The 20,884-nt window shown below is 43.9% G+C and overlaps 1 protein-coding gene across 3 annotated transcripts in view, besides 1 other annotated feature; it reads left to right on the plus strand.

Moving 5' to 3' along the window:
- The window catches only part of LDLRAD3 (low density lipoprotein receptor class A domain containing 3), a 288,075-nt gene extending 273,781 nt beyond the window's left edge, over positions 1–14,294 (plus strand). For all 3 annotated transcript variants that reach the window (NM_174902.4, NM_001304264.2, NM_001304263.2), the window contains 2 exons: positions 9,243–9,588; positions 11,318–14,294. In NM_174902.4, coding sequence (NP_777562.1) covers positions 9,243–9,588; positions 11,318–11,555 — 584 coding nt within the window. In that variant the 3' untranslated portion in view covers positions 11,556–14,294. The remainder of the gene's footprint in view (positions 1–9,242; positions 9,589–11,317) is intronic.
- Positions 19,357–19,651: a silencer, noted in NCBI's record as "tiled region #15199; HepG2 Repressive non-DNase unmatched - State 24:Quies". NCBI's record gives its function as "represses a minimal TATA promoter and a strong SV40 promoter by Sharpr-MPRA in HepG2 cells {active_cell/tissue: HepG2}" and the evidence as "EXISTENCE:reporter gene assay evidence [ECO:0000049][PMID:27701403]".

Raw genomic sequence — 20,884 nt, forward strand, 5'->3', positions numbered from 1 at the left:
TGTCTGTTTCTGTGTCATCTCCTTCTCTGTCTCTCATAAAGACACTCATCATTGGATCTAAAGCTCTCTCTAATTCAGAATGAGCTCATCTTGAAACTCTTACCTTAATTATATCTGCAAAGACCCTTTTTCCAAATAAGGTCACATTCTGAGGTTCTGGGTGGACATACCTTTGGAGGGACACTACTCAACTCAATACAGATGGTGCAAGGATTAAAAGTGTTAGAATGTGTAAAACACATCAGATATTAATGAGAATAGGGTAAGAGCTGCCAGGATAATTATGGTGATGATATTATGTTTACTCTTGTTTTTGAGTTCAAAGTAAATATGCATGGTGGTGATGGTTGTTAGTATTATTAGTATCATTATTTAGTTCAAATCAGGAATGAGGACATGTCACAAGGCAAATGGTGTTCCTCATTCCAACTCTGGACTTTTCCCCATGCCCTTCTGGGGGTTGATGCTGGGAAATTAATCACAGGGAACAGTGCTGTCTGTGAACGACAGGCCAAACAGGGTGATGTGAGCCACTGAGGTTCCTTGATCTGAAGAATTCTACAAGAATTACACAGCAACACAGTCCTGGGTAATGTTCAGACTTGTGGGAGTATTGCAAAAAGACTAGAGTCCGAAGAGGCTACAGGTGGCAAGACTCTCACGGAGGTTTTCTTCCTGGCCTGGGCCTGGATGTGGCCATGAGAATGGACGTGAGGTTAAGAGGCTGGAGAAACACAGCACAGTAGAAATTGACCATACTTGGTTGCTTGATGTGGACAGAGAAAAAGGAGAATGTTCAAGACAACCCCAAGTTTTCAAACCTGGCAGACCAGATGGCCAGGTAAACATCCAGCATCTAGGAATTCATCCAAAGAAATAATTGCATCAGTGACCAAAGATCACTGGCCCCTCCCCTCATGACCCTCACTGTCTGCCTGAATGGTATTGTAGCATTGTTTGTAATAGCAAAAATGGGGAGCAACCTAAAGGTACTTCAATAGAGGTTTGGCTAAATAAACTGTAGTTTATCTCTATAGTGGGATACTATGTGGCTGTTCTTTCACAAAGGTGTGGGAGCCAAGGAAAGATGCCCACATGCTGAAGTATCCATATAACATGAAGAAAAGTACGTGTGTGTACAAGCATAGGGAGCAGTTTTCAAAGATCTATGCTGTGGGTAGACAGCAAACTATGGCCAGTGGGCCAAATCTGACCTGCTACCTGTTTTTGTAAATAAAGTTTGTCTGGGACACGGCCACATTCATTCATTGACATATTGTCCATGACAGCTTTTATCTACTTGTGTAGCTCACAAAGCATAAAATATTTACTATCTGGTCCTTGACAGTAAAAGTTTGCCAGCTCATGGTCTATACCAAACTGTAAACCATGTCTAGTAGAATCCTAATAGGTTTAGGGGAGAGGAGGGGACATTTTGTCTGCCTTGAATATTTCTATATTATTTTTTTTTAAATAATGAACATGGATTTTTATAATCAGAAATAAAGTTCATTTTGGAAGGGGGAAAAAGGCGTGCAAGACACACTACCTCATTTCGAGACTTAACTATAAAGCTGTAGTTAACAACACCCTTATTGGCATAAAGATAGTTGTATAGCTCAATCATACAAAATAGATAGTCTAAGAATAGACTCAGACTTGTATGGTCAATTGATTTTCAACAAAGGTGCCAAGGTAATTCAATAAGAGAGGATAGGCTTTTCAACAAATGGTGTTAGAAAAATTGGAAAGCTAAATGGGGAGATGAAAAGAACCTTGACCTTTACCTTGCACCATAAACAAAAATTAATTTGCTGTGGATCATAGACATAAATGTAGAAGCTAAAGCTATAAGACTTCTTCTAAACAATGATTTAGGGGAAGATTCCTTGAATCGAATATAGAAAAACACAAACCATTAAGAAGGAATTGATGCAAATGACTATATAAAAATTTGTTTTGAAACGTTTTCTTCATTGACTAGTCTTAAAAAAGAAAATACCAAAAAGCTCTTTTTAAGACACTGTAAAGAAAATGAAAAGATAAGCCATAGACTAGGAGAAAATATTTGCAAAACACATTTGTGATAAAATACTATGTCACAGAACATATAAAATGCTCTTACTATCCAATAATAATGTCAAACCAATTTAAAAATGGGCAAAAGATTTGAATAAACACTTCATTAAAGAAGATAAGCTGTGGCAAATCAGTACATGAACAGATGCTCACATCATTAGTCATTAGGAAATGCTAATTAAAACCTCAATAAGAGGTTTTAAGTGGTATCAATAAGATACCACTAAATACCTATTAAGATGGCTAAAATTAAAAAGACTGGTATTACTAAGTGCTGGTGAGGACACAGGATGACTGACAGTTTCATACATTGCTGCTGGTGGGGATGGGAAATGCTATAGCAACTTTGGAGAACAGTGGGACAATTTCTTCTAAAGTTAAACATATGCTTCCCATATGACCCAGAAATCTCTCAGCCCTATGTATGCCCAAGAAATATGAAAATATATGTTAGCACAAAGACCAGCATTCCTGAAACTGGGAACAGCCCAGTACCCTCCCTCATCTGGGGAATCAAATTGTGATACATCCATGCAACTGAATACTACTCAGGGACAAAAAGGAATGAAATATTAACACTCAAAGAAACATGGATGAATCTCAAAAGCAGTGTGCTGAGTGAAAGAAGTCAGATGGAATAGAATATAAAAAACACAAACCATTAAGAAAGAATTGATGCAAAGGACTATGTAAAAATTTGTTTTTACATACTGTAGGATACTGCATACTGTAGGATTCCACTTATATGGCTTTCCGGAAAAAAGTGAATCTATTTGGACAGAAAACAGACCCCTGGTTTCCAGAGGCTTGGAATGAGGGGAGAAGATTGACCACAAGAAGCACAAAATACCTTTCGTGGGGATGGAAAGGGTCTATATCTTGATTGTGGAAGAGGACATGTGACTGTTTCATTTTGTCAGAATTCATCTAATGGCACATTTTTAAAGGGCAAATTTTATTATGCCTAAGGTGTACCTCAATAAATCTAACTTTTAAAATATATAATCTGGAGGAAGAACAAACTGAAAAAAAATACTTCTAAAAAAATTGCAAGGTAGGAGTTTTTCAAAGGGATGAGGAAGAGTCAGTTTGAAGGGCAATGAATATTCCAGAACAGGAATTCTGGACTTAGGAGGTCAGGCTGGGCCAGGCACGGTGGCTCACACCTGTAGTCCCAGCACTTTGGGATGCTGAGGTGGGTGGATCACTTGAGGTCAGGAGTTCAAGACTGGCCTGGCCATCATAGTGAAACCCCATCTCTACTAAGTATATAAAATTAGCCAGGCATGGTGGGTGTCATGCGCTTATAATCCCAGTTACTCGTGAGGCTGAGGCAGGAGAATCACTTGAACCCAGGAGGTGGAGGTTGCAGTGAGCCAAGATCGTGCAGTAGCCAAGATTGTGCCACTGCACTCCAGCCTGGGAGACAGAGTGAGACTCCATCTCAAAAAAAAAAAAGAGGTCAGGCTGGAGGCATTGGAAGCTGTCCTCAGGGACTCATGAGTCAGTAAGGGGTCTCCAAGTGAGCATGAAACAGTGAGGCCTGAACCCCAAGAAGCACCTACAGGGAGAGAAGGACAGGAAACAATAAAGGAACTGAGCCAGGTGCAGTGGCACATGCTGCAATCCCAGCTACTCAGAGGCTTAGGTGGCAGGATCGCTTGAGCCTAAGAGTTCAAGACCAGCCTGGGCAGCATAGCAAGACCTTATGTCTAAAAATAAAAATAAAGAAACTGAGATGCACCATCAGCCTGGGCAAGTCTTAAAGGAAGAAGACAGAGTGCTTATTTTTTTAATAGATAATACAGAACAAATGCTACAAAGTAGGAAGGAGTAAACAATAAAAAGTAAATCTCCCTCTCCACAAGCATCTATTCCCCTTCCTGGAAGCTCCCAGTGTTACTGGTTATATTGTGTCTTTCCAGATATATTCTATACATTCTCTACTGAACTTTGCTTTTTTCCCCTTATTTATATATCCTTCTCATGGTTCCATATCAGTATATGTAGAGGTTCCCTAATTTTAAAAATAGGTACAAGATTGTACGGATACACCATAATTTATTTAGCCAGGCTGCAACTGATAAACATTTGGATTGTTTCTGATATATCTTGCTGTTATGAACCATGCTTTCATGAATGCTCATTTTGTTTGTTGGTTTTTTAGAGACAGGGTCTCGCTCTGTCACTCAGGCTGGAGCATAGTGGCATGGTCATAGCTCGCTGCAGCCTCAAACTCCTGGGTTCAAGAGATCTTCCTTCTTAGCCTCCTGAGTAGCTGGGACTACAGGCACATGCCACTACGCCCAGCTAATTTACTAAATTATTACATTTTTATTTTTTGCAGAGACAGGGTCTCCCTATGTTGCCCAGGCTGGTCTCGAGCTCCTGGACTCAAGCCATCCCCCCTACTTTCACCTCCCAAAGAGCTGGGTTTACAGATATGAGTCACCATGCCTGGCCAATCTCAAAGAATATGCACATTTTTATATTAATATATATTATTAGCTCCTCCACCACCCTGGGTTGGTACTGACTTACCCTCCCACTAGCCATGCCTGCATATATACCAGGCACGAATATACCTGTTTGCCTGAGACCTGGCCAGCAGTATATGAGCTCAAACTTTGCTTCTGCCAATCTGATAGGCGAAAAATGGTATCCGGTAGGAAATTTAATTTGCATCTGGAGGAGGGGATTTTTTTGGAAGTGAAAGAACACCAAGTCACAAGTGTCAGCTGCTTGAGTGCCTTTGCTGGTCCAGACAGCACCTCTGAGTGAATTAGTTAAAGGTACTCCTCCTCAAGACACTTGGCTGCCATCTGCTAGAAGGCTGTCGTGATAACTAAACAAATATGTAATGACTTTGAGGTGAAGAGCACCCCTGGAGTTGTACAAAACACAGCCTGCTTCTCCACAGGCAGCTGTGGAGCTACTGGCAGTCTTGATAGAACAGCAGTTTCTAGGTAGTGACCAGATTGCCTGGAATTAGTACAGTCGAAGCGGCACGTACAGGACAAGAATTCAAGATGCTTGACAGTGGAGCACAAGGGCATTAGCTTGAGGGACAGCCAGAATAAATGGAAACTTCATTATCCATGGATTATGCACTTGGAACTTAGGTCCTAGGCAACTCTGATATTAGTAATTTGGCCAGCAGGCTCATTAAGCTCTTAAGAAAAGTGGGCCTAGTTAATGAATTAACACAAGATGACATTTTACACACAGCAAAAACGAGAGCAGGCACCACTGAGTTATGCAACATCATAATTTCTCAGGCAAATGTGATCGCTGCGTCTCGCCTGCCAAAGTGAAGAGAGGTCTGAAGAGAGCCTGCTTTCGGAGACATAAGTGAGCCCATTAAGTTCCACAGGCATTTTATATCCCATGCATTTTAAAGGGCTCCCACTTGTATTCTTAAAACCTCACGTGTTTACACAGAAGTCAGCGTTTTAAAATCTCTGGACCATTTGTTTTCTGTGTGACAGTTTACCCACTTTCCTCCTTTAAGAAATACATTTCACTGGCCAGGAGTGGTGACTCACGCCTGTAATCCCAACACTTTGGAAGGCAGAGATGGATAGATTACTTGAGCCCAGGAGTTCAAGACCAGCCTGGGCAACATAGGGAGACTCCGTCTTTACAAAATATGCAAACATTAGCTAGGTTGTGTGACGCACCCTTGTAGTCCCAGCCACTGAGACGGGAAGGTGGCTCGAGCCCAGGAGGTTGAAGCTGTTGAACCAAGATCGCGCCACTGCACTCCAGCTTGGGCAACAGAGTGATACCTTGTCTCAAAAAATACATATTAAACATTAAAAAGGAATAAAAAATAAAAAAAATACATCTCACTGGAATGGAACTCAGTCTGTTCATATCTTCTCCCCAGCCCCATCCCCCAGAGGTGGCTCCCCCAGCTTTCTACCCCCAGTTGCGAGAAGTTGGTGAGGATAATGGTAAGAACAGCAACACTAAAATCTAGTGTTCATTAGTGAGGGATGATGAAAAATTCTGGAGCTGGATAGTGGTGATGGATGCACTATAACATGTGTGAACGTTAATAATGTGTATGAATGTTAAGCGCCACTGAACTGTGCACTTTAAAATGGTTACAGTGGTAAATTTTATGTTATGTCTATTTTATCATTATTATATAATTATATATTATATAATTATATAATAATAATTATTATTTTGTTGTAGTGGTGGTTGTTACAAGAAAGAACTAGCATGACTGAGGCAAACCCTTGCCAGGCACTGTGCTCAGCACTTGTGTATATGTTATACTCTACCATCTGGATAGTCCAGGGAGACACGGATACTGTTGTTTACCCAGGACCACCACCATTTCACAGACGAGGAGGGTGAGGCTTCTAAGAGTTAAGTGACTCACTTGAGCTCAAACAGCTAGAAGCAGTGGCTCCAGGATTCCCCCAAGGCTCCTAACTCTACAGCTCTCCCTGCTAGATAATAAAATAAAGAAGTTATTTTAGTTTAAGCCAGAATTCTGAAACATACACATACACAAGCCTCCACCCAGCTTCTAATTGTCTCACTGAGAACAGACAAAACTCCAGTAGAATCCTTGAATGACAGCTAATTGTCTCCAGAAAAAATCCAAAATTGCCTCCCTCCCTTAATTGTAGTGCAGCATGATTCTGTTTTTCTGCTGGGCCCCTATTTGCTTCTTTCTGTGCAATGAATCATTGAAAGAGTGACCACCACGGACTTGGAGAATCTTTGTAGCTTTTAGTCTGTGTTTGGGTGTGGCTGGAGAGACAAATTAACACACAGAGCCGGACCTTGAAGGGGAAGGTCCTCATTTGTCTCAGATTGGGATCATTTGGGGAATCAGAAAATGTTTATATCAGAAAAGAAGAGAAGTCAATGTGTTTCGCAGGTTTGTGGTTTTTTGAAGGAGAAACATCTAGATTCTAGTCCTGTTCCTCTGCCTCCTTCTTAGGTGATGTTAGACAAAATAATTCACCTCTCTGAGTCAATTTGCTTATCTGAAAAATAGCAATAACAACAGCACTCATTTTACTAGGGCATGTGAATAAACAGATTTTTTTCCCATTGAGTGGCAGGTATTTATTGAGTGCCTACTATGTGCCAGGCACCATCCTACTCTCTGGGGATACAGCAGTGAACAAAACAGACGCACACCTAGTGATGAGGGATGGAGTAAAGCCCTTAGCCGATGCCAGGACAGAGGACATGAGTCACCTGTAGTCGCTGCCACTGCTGCTATTTCATGGCTACATTTTGACCCCTGTGGACCCACTGAAACCTCCTCACTGCCTCACAGGCAGAACAAGGACAGGGTCTTGGCCACCAAGTTTACTCACTTGAGCTGCATTTAGATTATTCTTCCAGCTAGGCCATGACAGTAGGTAGTGGCAGCTCTCTGTAAAGATGAGGGGTCCCCAGCTCGGACCCCTGGTTTCCTCCACCTGCCTGGACCTTACAGTGGTAGCCAGGTGTGTCCTGCTGACTGGGAAGCTCCTTACCTGGGTGCTTGAAGTATGGCTCCTTAGCATGTGTGGAGAGAAGGCTATTATGATAGCAACCTGCAGGGGTGGGATGTGTACCAGACCTTCACCCTGGAACTCCCGAGGAAGTGCCTGCAGATTGCCTGGCAGGTCTTATTCGGGTGATGTAGAGCAGAACGCTGGGGCCAGGTTCTGAAGTCAGACCCCTGGACTCAACTCACGCACAACTCCTTACCTCCAAACTGTGTGGCCTTGGTCAGGGGAACTGACTTCTCTGAGCTTCATTTTCTTCATCTTAAAAAAAAAAGGAGAATCACACCACCTACCCCATGGAGTTGTTATGAGGCAGAGAGATGTGATATAAAGCATGTACTTGGCCAGGCACAGTGGCTCACGCCTGTAATCCCAGCACTTTGGGAGGCCGAGGCAGTTGGATCACTTGAGGTCAAGAGTTCGAGACCAGCCTGGCCAACATGGTTGAAACCCCATCTCTAAAACACTAAAAGTAGCTGAGCATGGTGGCACACACCTGTAGTCCCAGCTACTTGGGAGGCTGAGGTGAGAGAATTGCTTGAACCCAGGAGGCGGAGGTTGAGTGCACCGAGATTGTGCCACTGCACTCCAGCCTGGGTGACAGAGCGAGACCCTGTCTCAAATAAATAAATAAATAAATAAATAAATAATGAATCATGTACTTGTATGTACCGAACACATGCACTTACAGAGCATAACGTATAGCTATGTTCAGGGGCCTGATGAGTATTGACTCATTTCAGGCTCACAGAAGCCCCAAGAACTGGGCACTATTACATCTCCATTTTGCAGCCCAGAGAGGGTAACACTTCCAAAGGGCACACAGCAAGCAAGTTTTGAGGGGCTGGGATTTGAGCCCAGGAGTTCCTGCTGTTAGCCTGGGCTGTGCTGGCTCTCCATCCCAAAAGCTCCATGTGAAGCCTGGCTTGAAATAAATGATTTGCAGGTATGAGGACCCCAGAGGTACTACCTGTGTTCCTGAGGTGTGTTATACATTTCTACTAAAGAACGGATTTCTGCTACAAGAACTCTCACTCCTGTTCCCTGGATAGCATATGATACTTTTTAAAACAACTTAATTGAGATATTATTTGCAGTACTTAAAATTTGCCCATTTTAAGTTTACAGTTCAGTGATTTTGCGGGGGGGAAATTTACCAATTTGTGCAACCATCACCATAAACCAGTTTCGGGACATTCCCGTCACCCCAACAAGATTCCTCATACCCATTGACTGTTAATCCCCATTCTCTTTCCCACTCCAGGCAACCACTAATCTACTTTCTGTCTCTGTAAAATTGCCTTTCCTGGAAATTTTGTATATACAGAATCTTACAATATGTGATCTTTTGTGTCTGGCTTAGTTCACTGCATCATGTTTTTGAGGTCCATCCATGCAGTAGCATGTATCAGTATTTATTAACTTTTTATGGCTGAATAATATTCCTTTGGGTGGATGTACCACGTTTTGTTTATCCGTTCATCGGTTGGTGGACATTTGGGCGGTTTCCACTTTTTGGCTATTGTGAATAGGGCTACTGTGAACATTCGCATGCAAGTTCTGGGGCTGATGTTGAAACACAAAGATTAGCCAAACTGGTAACCTTCTCTCTTTTCTCTCCTCTCTTGGGTTTCTCAGAACCCGGCAGTGGGCAGGTGTTTGTGACTTCAGAGAACCAACTTGTGTATTACCCCAGCATCACCTATGCCATCATCGGCAGCTCCGTCATTTTTGTGCTGGTGGTGGCCCTGCTGGCACTGGTCTTGCACCACCAGCGGAAGCGGAACAACCTCATGACGCTGCCCGTGCACCGGCTGCAGCACCCTGTGCTGCTGTCCCGCCTGGTGGTCCTGGACCACCCCCACCACTGCAACGTCACCTACAACGTCAATAATGGCATCCAGTATGTGGCCAGCCAGGCGGAGCAGAATGCGTCGGAAGTAGGCTCCCCACCCTCCTACTCCGAGGCCTTGCTGGACCAGAGGTGTGTGCTGGATGGAAGAGATTGAGGCGGGAGAGGTCATCCATTGCGGGGAGGGGAATAGGTGCACACACTGAGGTTCTTAGGTCTTGCCAAGAGCCTGGCTTCAGCTGCTATAGGCAGTGGCAGCATCTGACATTTGCCGAGTCCTCGCAAAATTCTCTACATGTATCACCTCATTTAATCCTCTTAGCACCTCGCTGAGGGAGGAAACTGATAGGAATGTTCCAAAACTGGATTATGGTGATAGTTGCACAAATCAGGAAATTTCCAAATTCTACAGATGAGGAAACTGAGGCTCTGGGATGTTAAATGACTTGTCTGAGGAACATACAGTTAGGATCCTGGCCTGCTCCTCCTGGGAATGTCACGCTGGTCCATGTTCTGGCCACAGACTAGCTCTGAGCCTCACCTGCTACTGCAGAGCAGTGCCCAGTACATGTGAGAGGTTTGGTTAATATCTGTCAAATGAATGGATAAATGAAGAAGTGAATGAATGAGAGAATCAGTGAGTTCCTTAACTTTGCTTGGCTTCATCTATAAAATAAAGGAGGTGGAAAGGAGCACTTTCAAGCTTTTTTAAGCAGTACCACATTGCAAATGGAATTGTACAAGAACTCCCAGTATGTATAAAGCCAGGAAGCAGAGTTCTGTAGTTGAAGCAAGCAGTGGGCCCGTTTCCTGATCAGCATCCCTCTTCCTCAAGCTCTGCCGTGTATGGCATTAGACATTTTGCTGGCCGTGTTCTGATGGTGACTGGGCTCTTCCTTGGACCCTCTTCCATGGCAGCTCTTACATTATTGAATCTTCGTTTTCCTTCCTCATAGAAGGTGAATAAAGTTTCAGAGGTCAGGGGAGAGGATGGCGCTTAAGGATCTCTTTGCAAATAAGTGTAAGAATTCAGGACCTTCCTCACCTAATAAAGTTCCCACTCATAACCTCTTCATTTGGACCACCCAGCATAGGGTAAGGTTAAAATTGCTGAATCTGGAAACAGAATGCGTGGGTTCAAATCCCAGCATTGCTGTTTACCAGTTATTTCTGATGCTGGGCCAGACATTGAATGTCCCTGTGCCTCAGTTTCCTCACCAGAGCAACAGGCATGAAAGTAATGCCCACCTCCCAGCATTCTTGTGAGCATTAAATAAGGTAAGGAATGTAAGGGGCATGGCAAAGTGCCTGGCTCATGAGAAGCCTTCAGTAAATGAGAGCTAGAAAATAAAATGTCTTTTCTGTTAAATTCATTCCTTTTAAGCCCCTTCTGCCGATACAGACCGAGGTGTTGAGAGGATGTCCTCTCACCCCAGTTCATAGCCAGGAAGAGTTGGCTTTCAATAGAAATGCCAATTCCATGTTCCCATCAGAGGCCCAGTCAAGATACCAGCCCAGCCTCTTGGCCACAGGGCTTTTGGCTGATGGAGCAGAGTGGCAATGCCAAACCACCCAGGTTGAGCCGAGGGACTTGGTGGGCGACCTCATTCTGGTTCTACCCAGAGGATGTGGTTTTGGCACCGTCCGGTCAACACCAACCAGCCAGAACACACTGGCCTTTTCTGTTCCGATGTGGTTCCTGGTCCTTGAATTAATTGTCTTTGTACTTGGAGGGAAAAATCTCATTTCGCACTGGAAACACTGTCTCAGAAATGGGCTGAAGTTGGCTTATCTTGGCCCTAATGTGTTCTCTTCTCTTCCTGTCTCCATTGCCCCTGCCCCCCTGCTGTCCCCATCACAGGCCTGCGTGGTATGACCTTCCTCCACCGCCCTACTCTTCTGACACGGAATCTCTGAACCAAGCCGACCTGCCCCCCTACCGCTCCCGGTCCGGGAGTGCCAACAGTGCCAGCTCCCAGGCAGCCAGCAGCCTCCTGAGCGTGGAAGACACCAGCCACAGCCCGGGGCAGCCTGGCCCCCAGGAGGGCACTGCTGAGCCCAGGGACTCTGAGCCCAGCCAGGGCACTGAAGAAGTATAAGTCCCAGTTATTCCAAAGTCCATATGGGTTAATCTGCTCTGACTTGTTGCCATTCTAACAATTTGTGCTCATGGGAAGCTCTTTAAGCACCTGTAAGGGTGTCTCAAGTTACAGTTTGGGATATTAACTATCTCTGCATTCCCCTCCTCCCCCAGACTTCAGAGATGTTTTTCTGGCGTCTCAGTTGACATGATCTGTTGTGCGTCTTTTCTGTCAGGTCACTCTTCCCTTGGGACCCGAGATCACACCCTCATTTTTCACATTATTCTGTTTCTGTTGGAGAGACAGCATATAAAACAGTATTGAAATAGGCTGGGAGAGAGCAATGTTTCTGTGCTATATTGGATGCTCAGAAGTGCAGGAGACGCTGGACCCAATTCTCTCTGCTGGGTAGTTACCTTATAGCATTTGGGGATTTGGGTTAGATGATCTAACCAGGAGGCCATCACTGGATGGTCACCCCCCCAAAAAAATTCCATTTGAGCATCAAAACCTGCTTTGCACAATCCTATTTGATGCCCCCAGTTCAGCAGAGTCAGTGGCCAAAGAAAACTTTGGACGTGAGTAACACCCTTCAGCAGTCGCAACGTTATTTTGGTTTTGTGAAGGACTCTGAAACCATCTACCCTGTATAAATTCTGGCTTTAGAAATTTGCCCAAGAATGCTCATTCTGAGAGCTTTCCTCAGCAGCATATATCATCAGCCTCATCCTAAAATAGGCAGGGAGCCCCTCCCATGAGTTTATCCAAGTTCTCAGCTCCTAAAATGCAGGCTGCCAAGACCCTACACCTGCCCTGGCTCTACAGCCACTTACCTGGTTTCTGGACTGTCACCCTCCCAGCTGACCTGCCCGTAGCCAAGGAATGAGGACCTAACTTGAGTTGGCCCAAAGTCTGACCTGGCTGTATGTCCCTGTGGCCCACACCCAGCCTGTCTTGCTCATTCATGCAGCCTCAACACTGGCCTCCAAAGTTCCCTTAACACTTGCAAAGTCCTTTTTACCTGTGCATTTGGACTTGAGGACACTGGTTTCTATCACAGGTGAGAGCCATGTTCAATACCTCCAGCAAGCTCTCCTGGCTCCCTGCACTGTGCACGCTCCTCTTCCCAAGGTCCCAATACCAGCACCTCTAGTTAGAGTTAGGGTCAGGGTCAGGCCTCTCCCAACATCCCAGTAGTTTCTCCTCTGAGACACATGGGCAAGAGACAATTTGGAGTCAAGATTTTCCATTTGGATCTATTTTAAATCTTTTAGAAATGCATTTGAAACAGTGTGTTTGTTTTTTCCCTTCTAGTTAAGGGACTATTTATATGTGTATAGGAAAGCTGTCTCTTTTTTTGTTTTTCCTTTAACAAGGTCCAAAGAAAGATGCAAAAGGAGATCACACCCTTGCCCCGCTGAGCCCCGTGATAACAAGTCACTCCAGACTAACCTGTGTGCCAGACATTTGTGCATTGTTGCACTTTGAGGTTATTATTTATCAAGTTCTTGAAGGAAGCAGAAAGAGGGACTCCTCTCTCCCTCCGTGTATAGTCTCTATGTTTGTGCTAGTTTTTCTTTTTTTTCTCTGTGTCCAGTCAGCCACAGGGCCCGCCTCCCTGCAGGAATAAGGGGTAAAACGTTAGGTGTTGTTTGGCAAGAAACCACACTGACTGATGAGGGGTAAAATGGAACCAGGTAGAGCCACTCCGGGCAGCTGTCACCCATTCAGAACTTCTTTCCGCAGCTGAAGAAATGTTCAGTAACCTGTTTGACGCTAATTAAAACAGAGCCTGCAGGAAGTGGGGCTAAAGTGGCATTCAGTGATCCTGTTCTGTAGACTTTTCTTTCTTTTTTTAACCAAATCCAAAGGATGTTACAGAAAAGCTAGCCACTGGTATTTTGTTTTGTTTAAAAAAAAAAAGAAAGAAAGAAAGAAAGAAAAACGGAAAGGAACCTAGCTGCCTGTATCTTTCATTTTTAAAATAGCACTTGAGTTATTTTCTGAGTAATCCAATAAAGAACTTTTGATGACAGCCAGAATGTGTTAGAACTCTGGCTGAACATTTCATCTCCTGTGAGTCAGAAGGGCTTTATTTCTCCCTTTGATGGGGCCCCTTCTTCTTTCTGGTGCTCTGGAAGTTGTTTAGAGGAAAGAATTCTAATTTTAATTAATTGCGCAGTGAGTTAATCTCACTCGCTTTTCTGCTTCCAGGCATCTTAGGAAAAACAAATGGTTTTAGTAGATAAGGGATGCCTACTAATGCTTTTTTAAAACAAACAGGGACATTTTTATTATAGATTTGATTTTTTTAATGAATGTTTTTAAAAATATATAAATAGGACACCAAAGCGGCAGGGTTTTTTTGGGGGGGAGGGGGTTTGTTTTCCAACTCAAGATGGCACATTAGTGGCCAGCAATATTTTTTAACTCATTCCAACCAGGAAGCTTTTTTATACATTGCCTAAATCTACGCCAACCAGAAAATAGTCTCATCTCTTTTTTTCTCAAATGAGATCCGTGTTTTATTTTAGCATTAAATTAGTTACACTGTGATGACTGGCCTATTACCTGACTCAGCTCCCTCTACCTTGAAATTGACATTTTTAAAAAATGCAACTAAGTGGTTAATAGTGTGTGACGCTCAAAGTTAATGTAAACTGGAAAGGTTGTGTGTCGTTGCTTTTTGTGTTTTGGTTAGGCTTGGTTTTGTTTTTTAATTTTTATACTTTCTAATAAATTTGCAGTTTCATTCTTTCTGTTTGTGCAAATGGTCCTTGACCCACTCATTTCCCTTATAGCAATATAAACAGTGGACAGTCACTTCTGTCATAGCTTTTGCAATGAATTTATGCCATAATAAAATGAGAAAAAGGAAGAATATGTTGGTGGGACCTCAAAATGTGATGGATGCTTCAGGATTCTGCAGCTGATATGATTGGAATACAGAGGCAAAGTTGTGGACACCAGTTAATGTAATGGGCCCTGGGAAATCATATTGGAAGATGGGTGTTTCTGCCTTTGCTACAGCATTGTTCAAGGGAAAAGGACAAGTAGCTGTGATAACTGTAACAGATTCTGACCACATATTCAGGAGCACACTATAGCTCTTGGATAGGTGGGCTAGTAATTAGTTTCAAAACACAAATGGCTCAGATTGTCCCCATCAATGATGGGAACATCTTTATGCTTTTTTAAGTCTAGTTTTGGAGCCACATGTTGGCCAATGCAGCAGGGACATCTGCCTGGGAAGGAAGTTAGGATGCCCCATAGGTCACCAGCACCACCATCATGAACAGGGACAGTAACTCCAGCCCTGGCCGAAATGAAATCCACATGGAAATCCAAATGCAAGACCCACAGTACCAAGATTTGGATCATGTATTGATCCCAGATTCCTCAAATGAAGACTGGGCTGTCAGGCATGTGTATCCCAAATATATGCTATGTCATGCCCTGCCCCAAGTGATGTAGAGTAGACTTTCCCAAGCCCCAAAGATTTGTCAAGTTACTCATTTCATCATCCCTCGAGGTACCTTATGAATACCTTTTTTTTTCTTTTTTTTGAGATGAAGTCTCGCTCTGTCGCCCAGGCTGGAGTGCAGTGGCGTGATCTCAGCTCACTGCAAGCTCCGCCTCCCGGGTTCACGCCATTCTTCTGCCTCAGCTTCCCGAGTAGCTGGGACTACAGGCACCCACCACCATGCCCGGCTAATTTTTTTTTTTTTTTTTTTTTTTTGCATTTTTAGTAGAGGCAGGATTTCACCGTGTTAGCCAGATGGTCTTGACCTCCTGACCTCGTGATCCGCCCACCTCGGCCTCCCAAAGTGCTGGGATTACAGGCGTGAGCTGCCACGCCCAGCCATGAATACCATTTTTATGGATGCCAAGATGAGCATTTTTTATGGATGCTAGTGCTTTGCAATGATTGTAAAATACTCAGCTAGAGCAGGGGTTGATAAACTTTCTCTAAAGGGCCAGAGAATAAATATTTTTGGCTTGTGGCCGTGTGGTTTCTGTAGCAACTGCAAAAGCAGCTATAGACAATACAAAATTGAATGGATGTGGCTGTGTTCCAAGAAAACTATTTACAAAAACAGGCTACTGGTGGGATTTGACCTGTGGGCTGTGGTTTGTCAGTAATCTAAAGGATCACTTCCACATTGGGTTCATAGATGTAAAGCTAAGGACACTGAAGAGAAGAAACAGTTGTGTTAATGGCTTGGAGTACTAGAACCCTTGAAATGACACCAATCTCAAAAAATTAAAAATAGGCCGGGTGTGGTGGCTCACGCCTGTAATCCCAGCACTTTGGGAGGCCAAGGTGGGCGGATCATGAGGCCAGGAGATTGAGACCTTCCTGGCTAACATGGTGAAACCCCATCTCTACTAAAAATACAAAAAAAAAGAAAAATTAGCCGGGCGTGGTGGTGGGCACCTGTAGTCCCAGCTACTTGGGAGGCTGAGGCAGGAGAATGGCATGAACCTGGGAGGCAGAGCTTGCAGTGAGCCAAGATCGAGCCACTGCACTCTAGCCTGGGTGACAGAGCGAGACTCCGTCTCAAAAAAGAAAAAAAATTAAAAATAGAAAAACTCATGAAGCAGACAATTCAAGGCCCCTATTAGTTCTCTTCCAAAATAAGAAGATACAGGATTAAGCTGAAGAGAGGCTTTCTTAATGAAATCCTAAATATTTGGGTTCAATATAGCAATCCTAGGAAAAAAAAAAAACAAAAAACTACTCTTACTGGGAGTTCTTCAAGGTCATGAACTCACACAGCAATCTGTCTTTTTTTTTTTTTTTTTGAGACAGAGTCTCACTCTGTTGCCCAGGCTGGAGTGCAGTGGCACAATCTCGGCTCACTGCAACCTCTGCCTCCCAGGTTCAAGTGATTCTCCTGCCTCAGCCTCCCAAGTAGCTGAGATAATAGGCGTGTACCACCACACCTAGCTAATTTTTTGTATTTTTAGTAGAGACGGGATTACACCGTGTTAGCCAGGACGGTCTCGATCTCCTGACCTCATGATCCACCCGCCTCAGCCTCCCAAAGTGCTGGGATTACAGGAATCTGTCTTTTAGAGAAGGTCCATGGGAGTGAGTGACGTGGTATGTCCATTTTCTACGTTGAGCTTGCAACCCACAGGCAAAGCAGTAGATTCTAAGAGTGAATTGAATGAGAAAGAGATTCAGGTGGCTGCAGTGGAAGTGTATGAGTGTACATAACTATGCACCCAGTGAGACCCTTAGGGAAAAGGTCAGTGAGAAAATATACTGACTCCCTTGACATCCTACAGCTAAACAAGTTCATAGGACATTAATTAGAACTCCTAGTTGTAAGTTATAGAAATCTGACTCATACATGATTAATTGCATTAAATTTTAGAAGATATATTGTCTAAAGCAACCAAGTCCAAGATTATGGAACTTTTGGGTTCAAGCAGACCTGGATCCAGCTGCTCAACAGCCTTCATTAGGAATTTGTTCCTCCCTTGCCAGTTTCTCAGCCCTGCTTGCTCATGGAAAAGAGAGTCCAGAAAACCCAGGTTCACAGTCTCAGGAGAGGCACTCTCTCCTAGCATCTATAGAAACCTTTAAACGGACTCACGATTGGTTGTTCTTGGTCATGTGACCACTACTATGAGTGGGTCTCAGTCCCTTGATTGACAGCCCCACCTGAATTACATGAAGTGGGAAAGAGAAAATTCCCATATGGAAAGAGTCTGGTAGTAGACCAAATACCAATATATCTGCTGTAAACCCCCACCAAAGAATGGGACTCACAACTGGCTGGTACAATTTGTAATATACATAAGAAAATAGCAGACAACTACAAGCTTCAGACAATGTAACCATGGGCATTATATGGTCTGAAAGAAACAGAGGCAACGTTGCAGTGAAAATTTCAGGAGACTCAACAGCCTTTCCTTAAACCTATGAGGCAAGGTTAGTTTCAAGTTGGGGTTGGATCATGTATACTTTTGTGAGACGGTCATGAATAAGCTGTGTAGGAGGAATTCTACCCTAAAGATACCCCAAATATCTCTTGGGCTCAGAACTGTCTCCCAACCACTGAAATGGGGCAATTATCCTGCCAAGAGTTTCCCCATCCTTCACAGTATTTTTAAGCTGATGGATCAGAAATATATTCCCATTCATCACCCTTATCAAGCTACCTAAAGACCTAGACTCAAGTATGCATGCAGTTAATGAGGCTTTCCATAGTTAACCATTTGTCTATACCTGAAAGTTAGGATGTGTCAATATCTAGAGAACCATCCACTAGAAATTTTGGAACAGCTTGTGTCACTGGAGCTGAGGGGCTGAGTTTCCATTATATTGAGAGCTTGAAGGTATAATCATGGGGAGCTGTGATGAAATATTGGAGGAAGCATGTTAATTTAAATATTACTGATGCCTCAGTTGGGCTGAGTTTATAGTCTGAGCAAGGATAATTCACTCTAAAGTTCTAATATCAGGCTGTATTTGACTTTACATGCTTTTCAAGGTCACCGTTGACGGTGAGTCATCCCAGTGAGCCAGCAGAGAAAAGGCATTCCAAGGAGCACACATGCATGGGCAGTGTTTACGGGCCAGACCTGGAAGCAACACACACCTTCACTCACATTTCATTGCACAGAGCCTGGTCAGTCCCATGGTCAGACCTACCTGTAAGAGAGGCTGAGAAGTTAGATTAGCTGTGTGTCCAGGAAGAACCAGAAATGGATTTTGGTGCTGGTGACCAAACCTGTGTTTGCACTCTTCTTTCCCTTCTGAAAGAAGACACCCAACCATTCCATCTAATCAGATCCAAGATCTGGGATCTGGTGAAAATTTCTGTCAGGTCCAAATTTGGCTTTTCTAGAATGACAACTTTTCAACCCCACACAGCTCATATCATCTCTCCCCTAGATTGCCTCCCTTTGGCCTATTTTCAGAATCTCTTTCTTTTCTTTTCTTTATTTATTTATTTATTTATTTATTTATTGACAGGGTCTCATTCTGTCACCCAGGCTGGAGTGCAGTGGCATGATCTCTGCTCGCTGCAGCCTCAACCTCCCGGGCTCAAGTGAACTTCCCACCTCAGCCTCCCGAGTATCTGGGACTGCAGGCATGGGCTAACATGCCCAGCTAATTTTTGTGTTTTTTGTAGAGATGGGGTTTTGCCATGTTGCCCAGGCTGGCCTCAAACTCCTGAGCTCAAGCGATCCGCCCACCTTTACCTCCCAAAATGCCATGATTCCAGGCACACACCAGCACTCCCAGCCTATTCTCAGAATCTTTGAATAACTTTTCCAGGCACACACCACCGCTCACAGCCTATTCTCAGATTCTTTGAATAATTGTCAACTCACTGCGGAGAAAGATCAAAATGCTAGTCTATGGGACTTTCCACCACCTGGCTTCTCCCTTCTCCCTTACCCTGCTCCAGCTATCCTGACCACCCTCCTGGTTCGAACCTACCAGGCAGACTCTCAGCTCCCAAACTTTGTTCTTGCTGTTCCCTTTACTGGAACAGCTTCTCAAGATCCCTAGAATACTCTTCCCCATCAGAGAACCATCAGGAGCCACAGCCACTTGGAATATTGCTATTGATGTCTTTGGGACCTCAGCTGTGGCCACACTGAGATTCGTGGAAGATGGAAGTACCAGACTCCTTCTTGACCAAGATACTGATTGATCCCTAGACTAAAGCAGTACATGAGAACTTGGGAAGGTGAGTTGAAATACCTTGAAATAATAAACAATACACTGGAATGTGAAGAATGGGACTAAGTGATGGAGGTGGTACCTGAACACATGCCCACCTGGGGGCCTGCTCTTTTGGTGACCCCTCAATAGGTATGACTCTTTTGCAAGAGGACTTGGGCCAGACCATCTTGGAAGTGTGTTCTTGGTGTGCTAGTCTGTGAATCAACTAAGAGCACACCGACATGCCAGGCAACTTCCCAGGGATAGGACCGCAGATTCTATTTGAAAATGGTGGCATCCCCAGTTTGGAGATAAGAAACTGACACTTTGTTCAAACAGGGAAAAGAGGTAAGAAATTATAGAAAGAGAAGACAGGGCCAGCCTCCTTTTACATGAAAAATAAACTGCTTAAATAACTCAGCCCTCAGTTACCAGGAAATGATTGAATGTGAATGTCTTGACCCCACTTGCTGGCTTGGCTTAGATCTAATAAGTGATCTTTTCATGAAAATGATGTTTGTGCTTGCCTGGTGTATCAGCTGGGATCAGTCAGAGCCACTACAAGTATTACAGGAATAAGGGATTTCATATGGAAATTAGGGCTTATCCTGTTGCAGAAAGAGCTGGTGGAGGGATGGTCTGGAAAGTTGGAGGATCTGGGACATTATCTCCAAGGCCACTAGCCTGGGGCCTGGGACAGATGGAGAAATGAGCTGGCAAGGAAGGCCAAGAAGGTGCTGCTACATGAAGACTTCAAAATGGTATTGCAACAAGTAAGCTCATGGAGAAGACTGTGAAGCCACGTGTCTGACTACCCCAATACTTTGAGAATAATGACTTCTGCTCAAGCCCAATCCTCTGGCCCTCCCAGAAACTCTTCAAGTCACTTAATGAATTCCTTTTCTGTTTAAATCAGCAAAATAGGCTTCATCATTTGCAGCAAAGATCCTAACTAATCCAATATTCAGCCCAATGAGTTGTGGGAGAAATGAGCACTGGATCTAGAGTCCAAAGATCTGAGATCAAGTCTCAGCTCTGCTCCTGATCTTGTGACTTCACACATATCAGTGTGTCTTACCAAAAATCAGTGTCTTGTCTACAAAATGGTTGTAATAGTCATTATCTCTTCAAGCAGCATTGAGAAATCCACATGATATTGCAAAGGAAAGTCCCTTGTGAAGGGTAATAGACATTTTTAATGGGAAGTCCTGTCATTGTTCCTTCACTATGAATCCAAACTGCCCTTCCTTTAAATGCTAAGGAACTGGGAATTTGCATTAAGCAAATCATGTCAGGACAAAATCTTGACTGCACCTGCACCCAGGAGTTGAGTGGGTCCATTCACATGCCCTTTTTGGAAATGGAGTGATATGGTTTGGCTCTGTGTCCCCACCCAAATCTCATGTTGAATTGTAATTCCAGTGTTGGAGGAGGGGCCTGTTGGGAGGTGAGTGATTCATGGGGGTGGACTTCCCCCTTGCTATTCTCATGATAGTGAGTTCTCATGAGATCTGGTTGTTTAAAAGTGTATAGCACCTTCCCCTTTGCTTTCTCTCTTCCTCCTGCTCCCACCACGTAAGATGTGCCTTCTTCTTCTTTGCCTTCTGCCATGATTGAAAGTTTCCTGAGGCCTCTCTACCCATGCTGCCTGTACAGC

Source organism: Homo sapiens, chromosome 11, assembly GCF_000001405.40.
Source record: "Homo sapiens chromosome 11, GRCh38.p14 Primary Assembly".
Taxonomy (NCBI): Eukaryota; Metazoa; Chordata; class Mammalia; order Primates; family Hominidae; genus Homo; species Homo sapiens.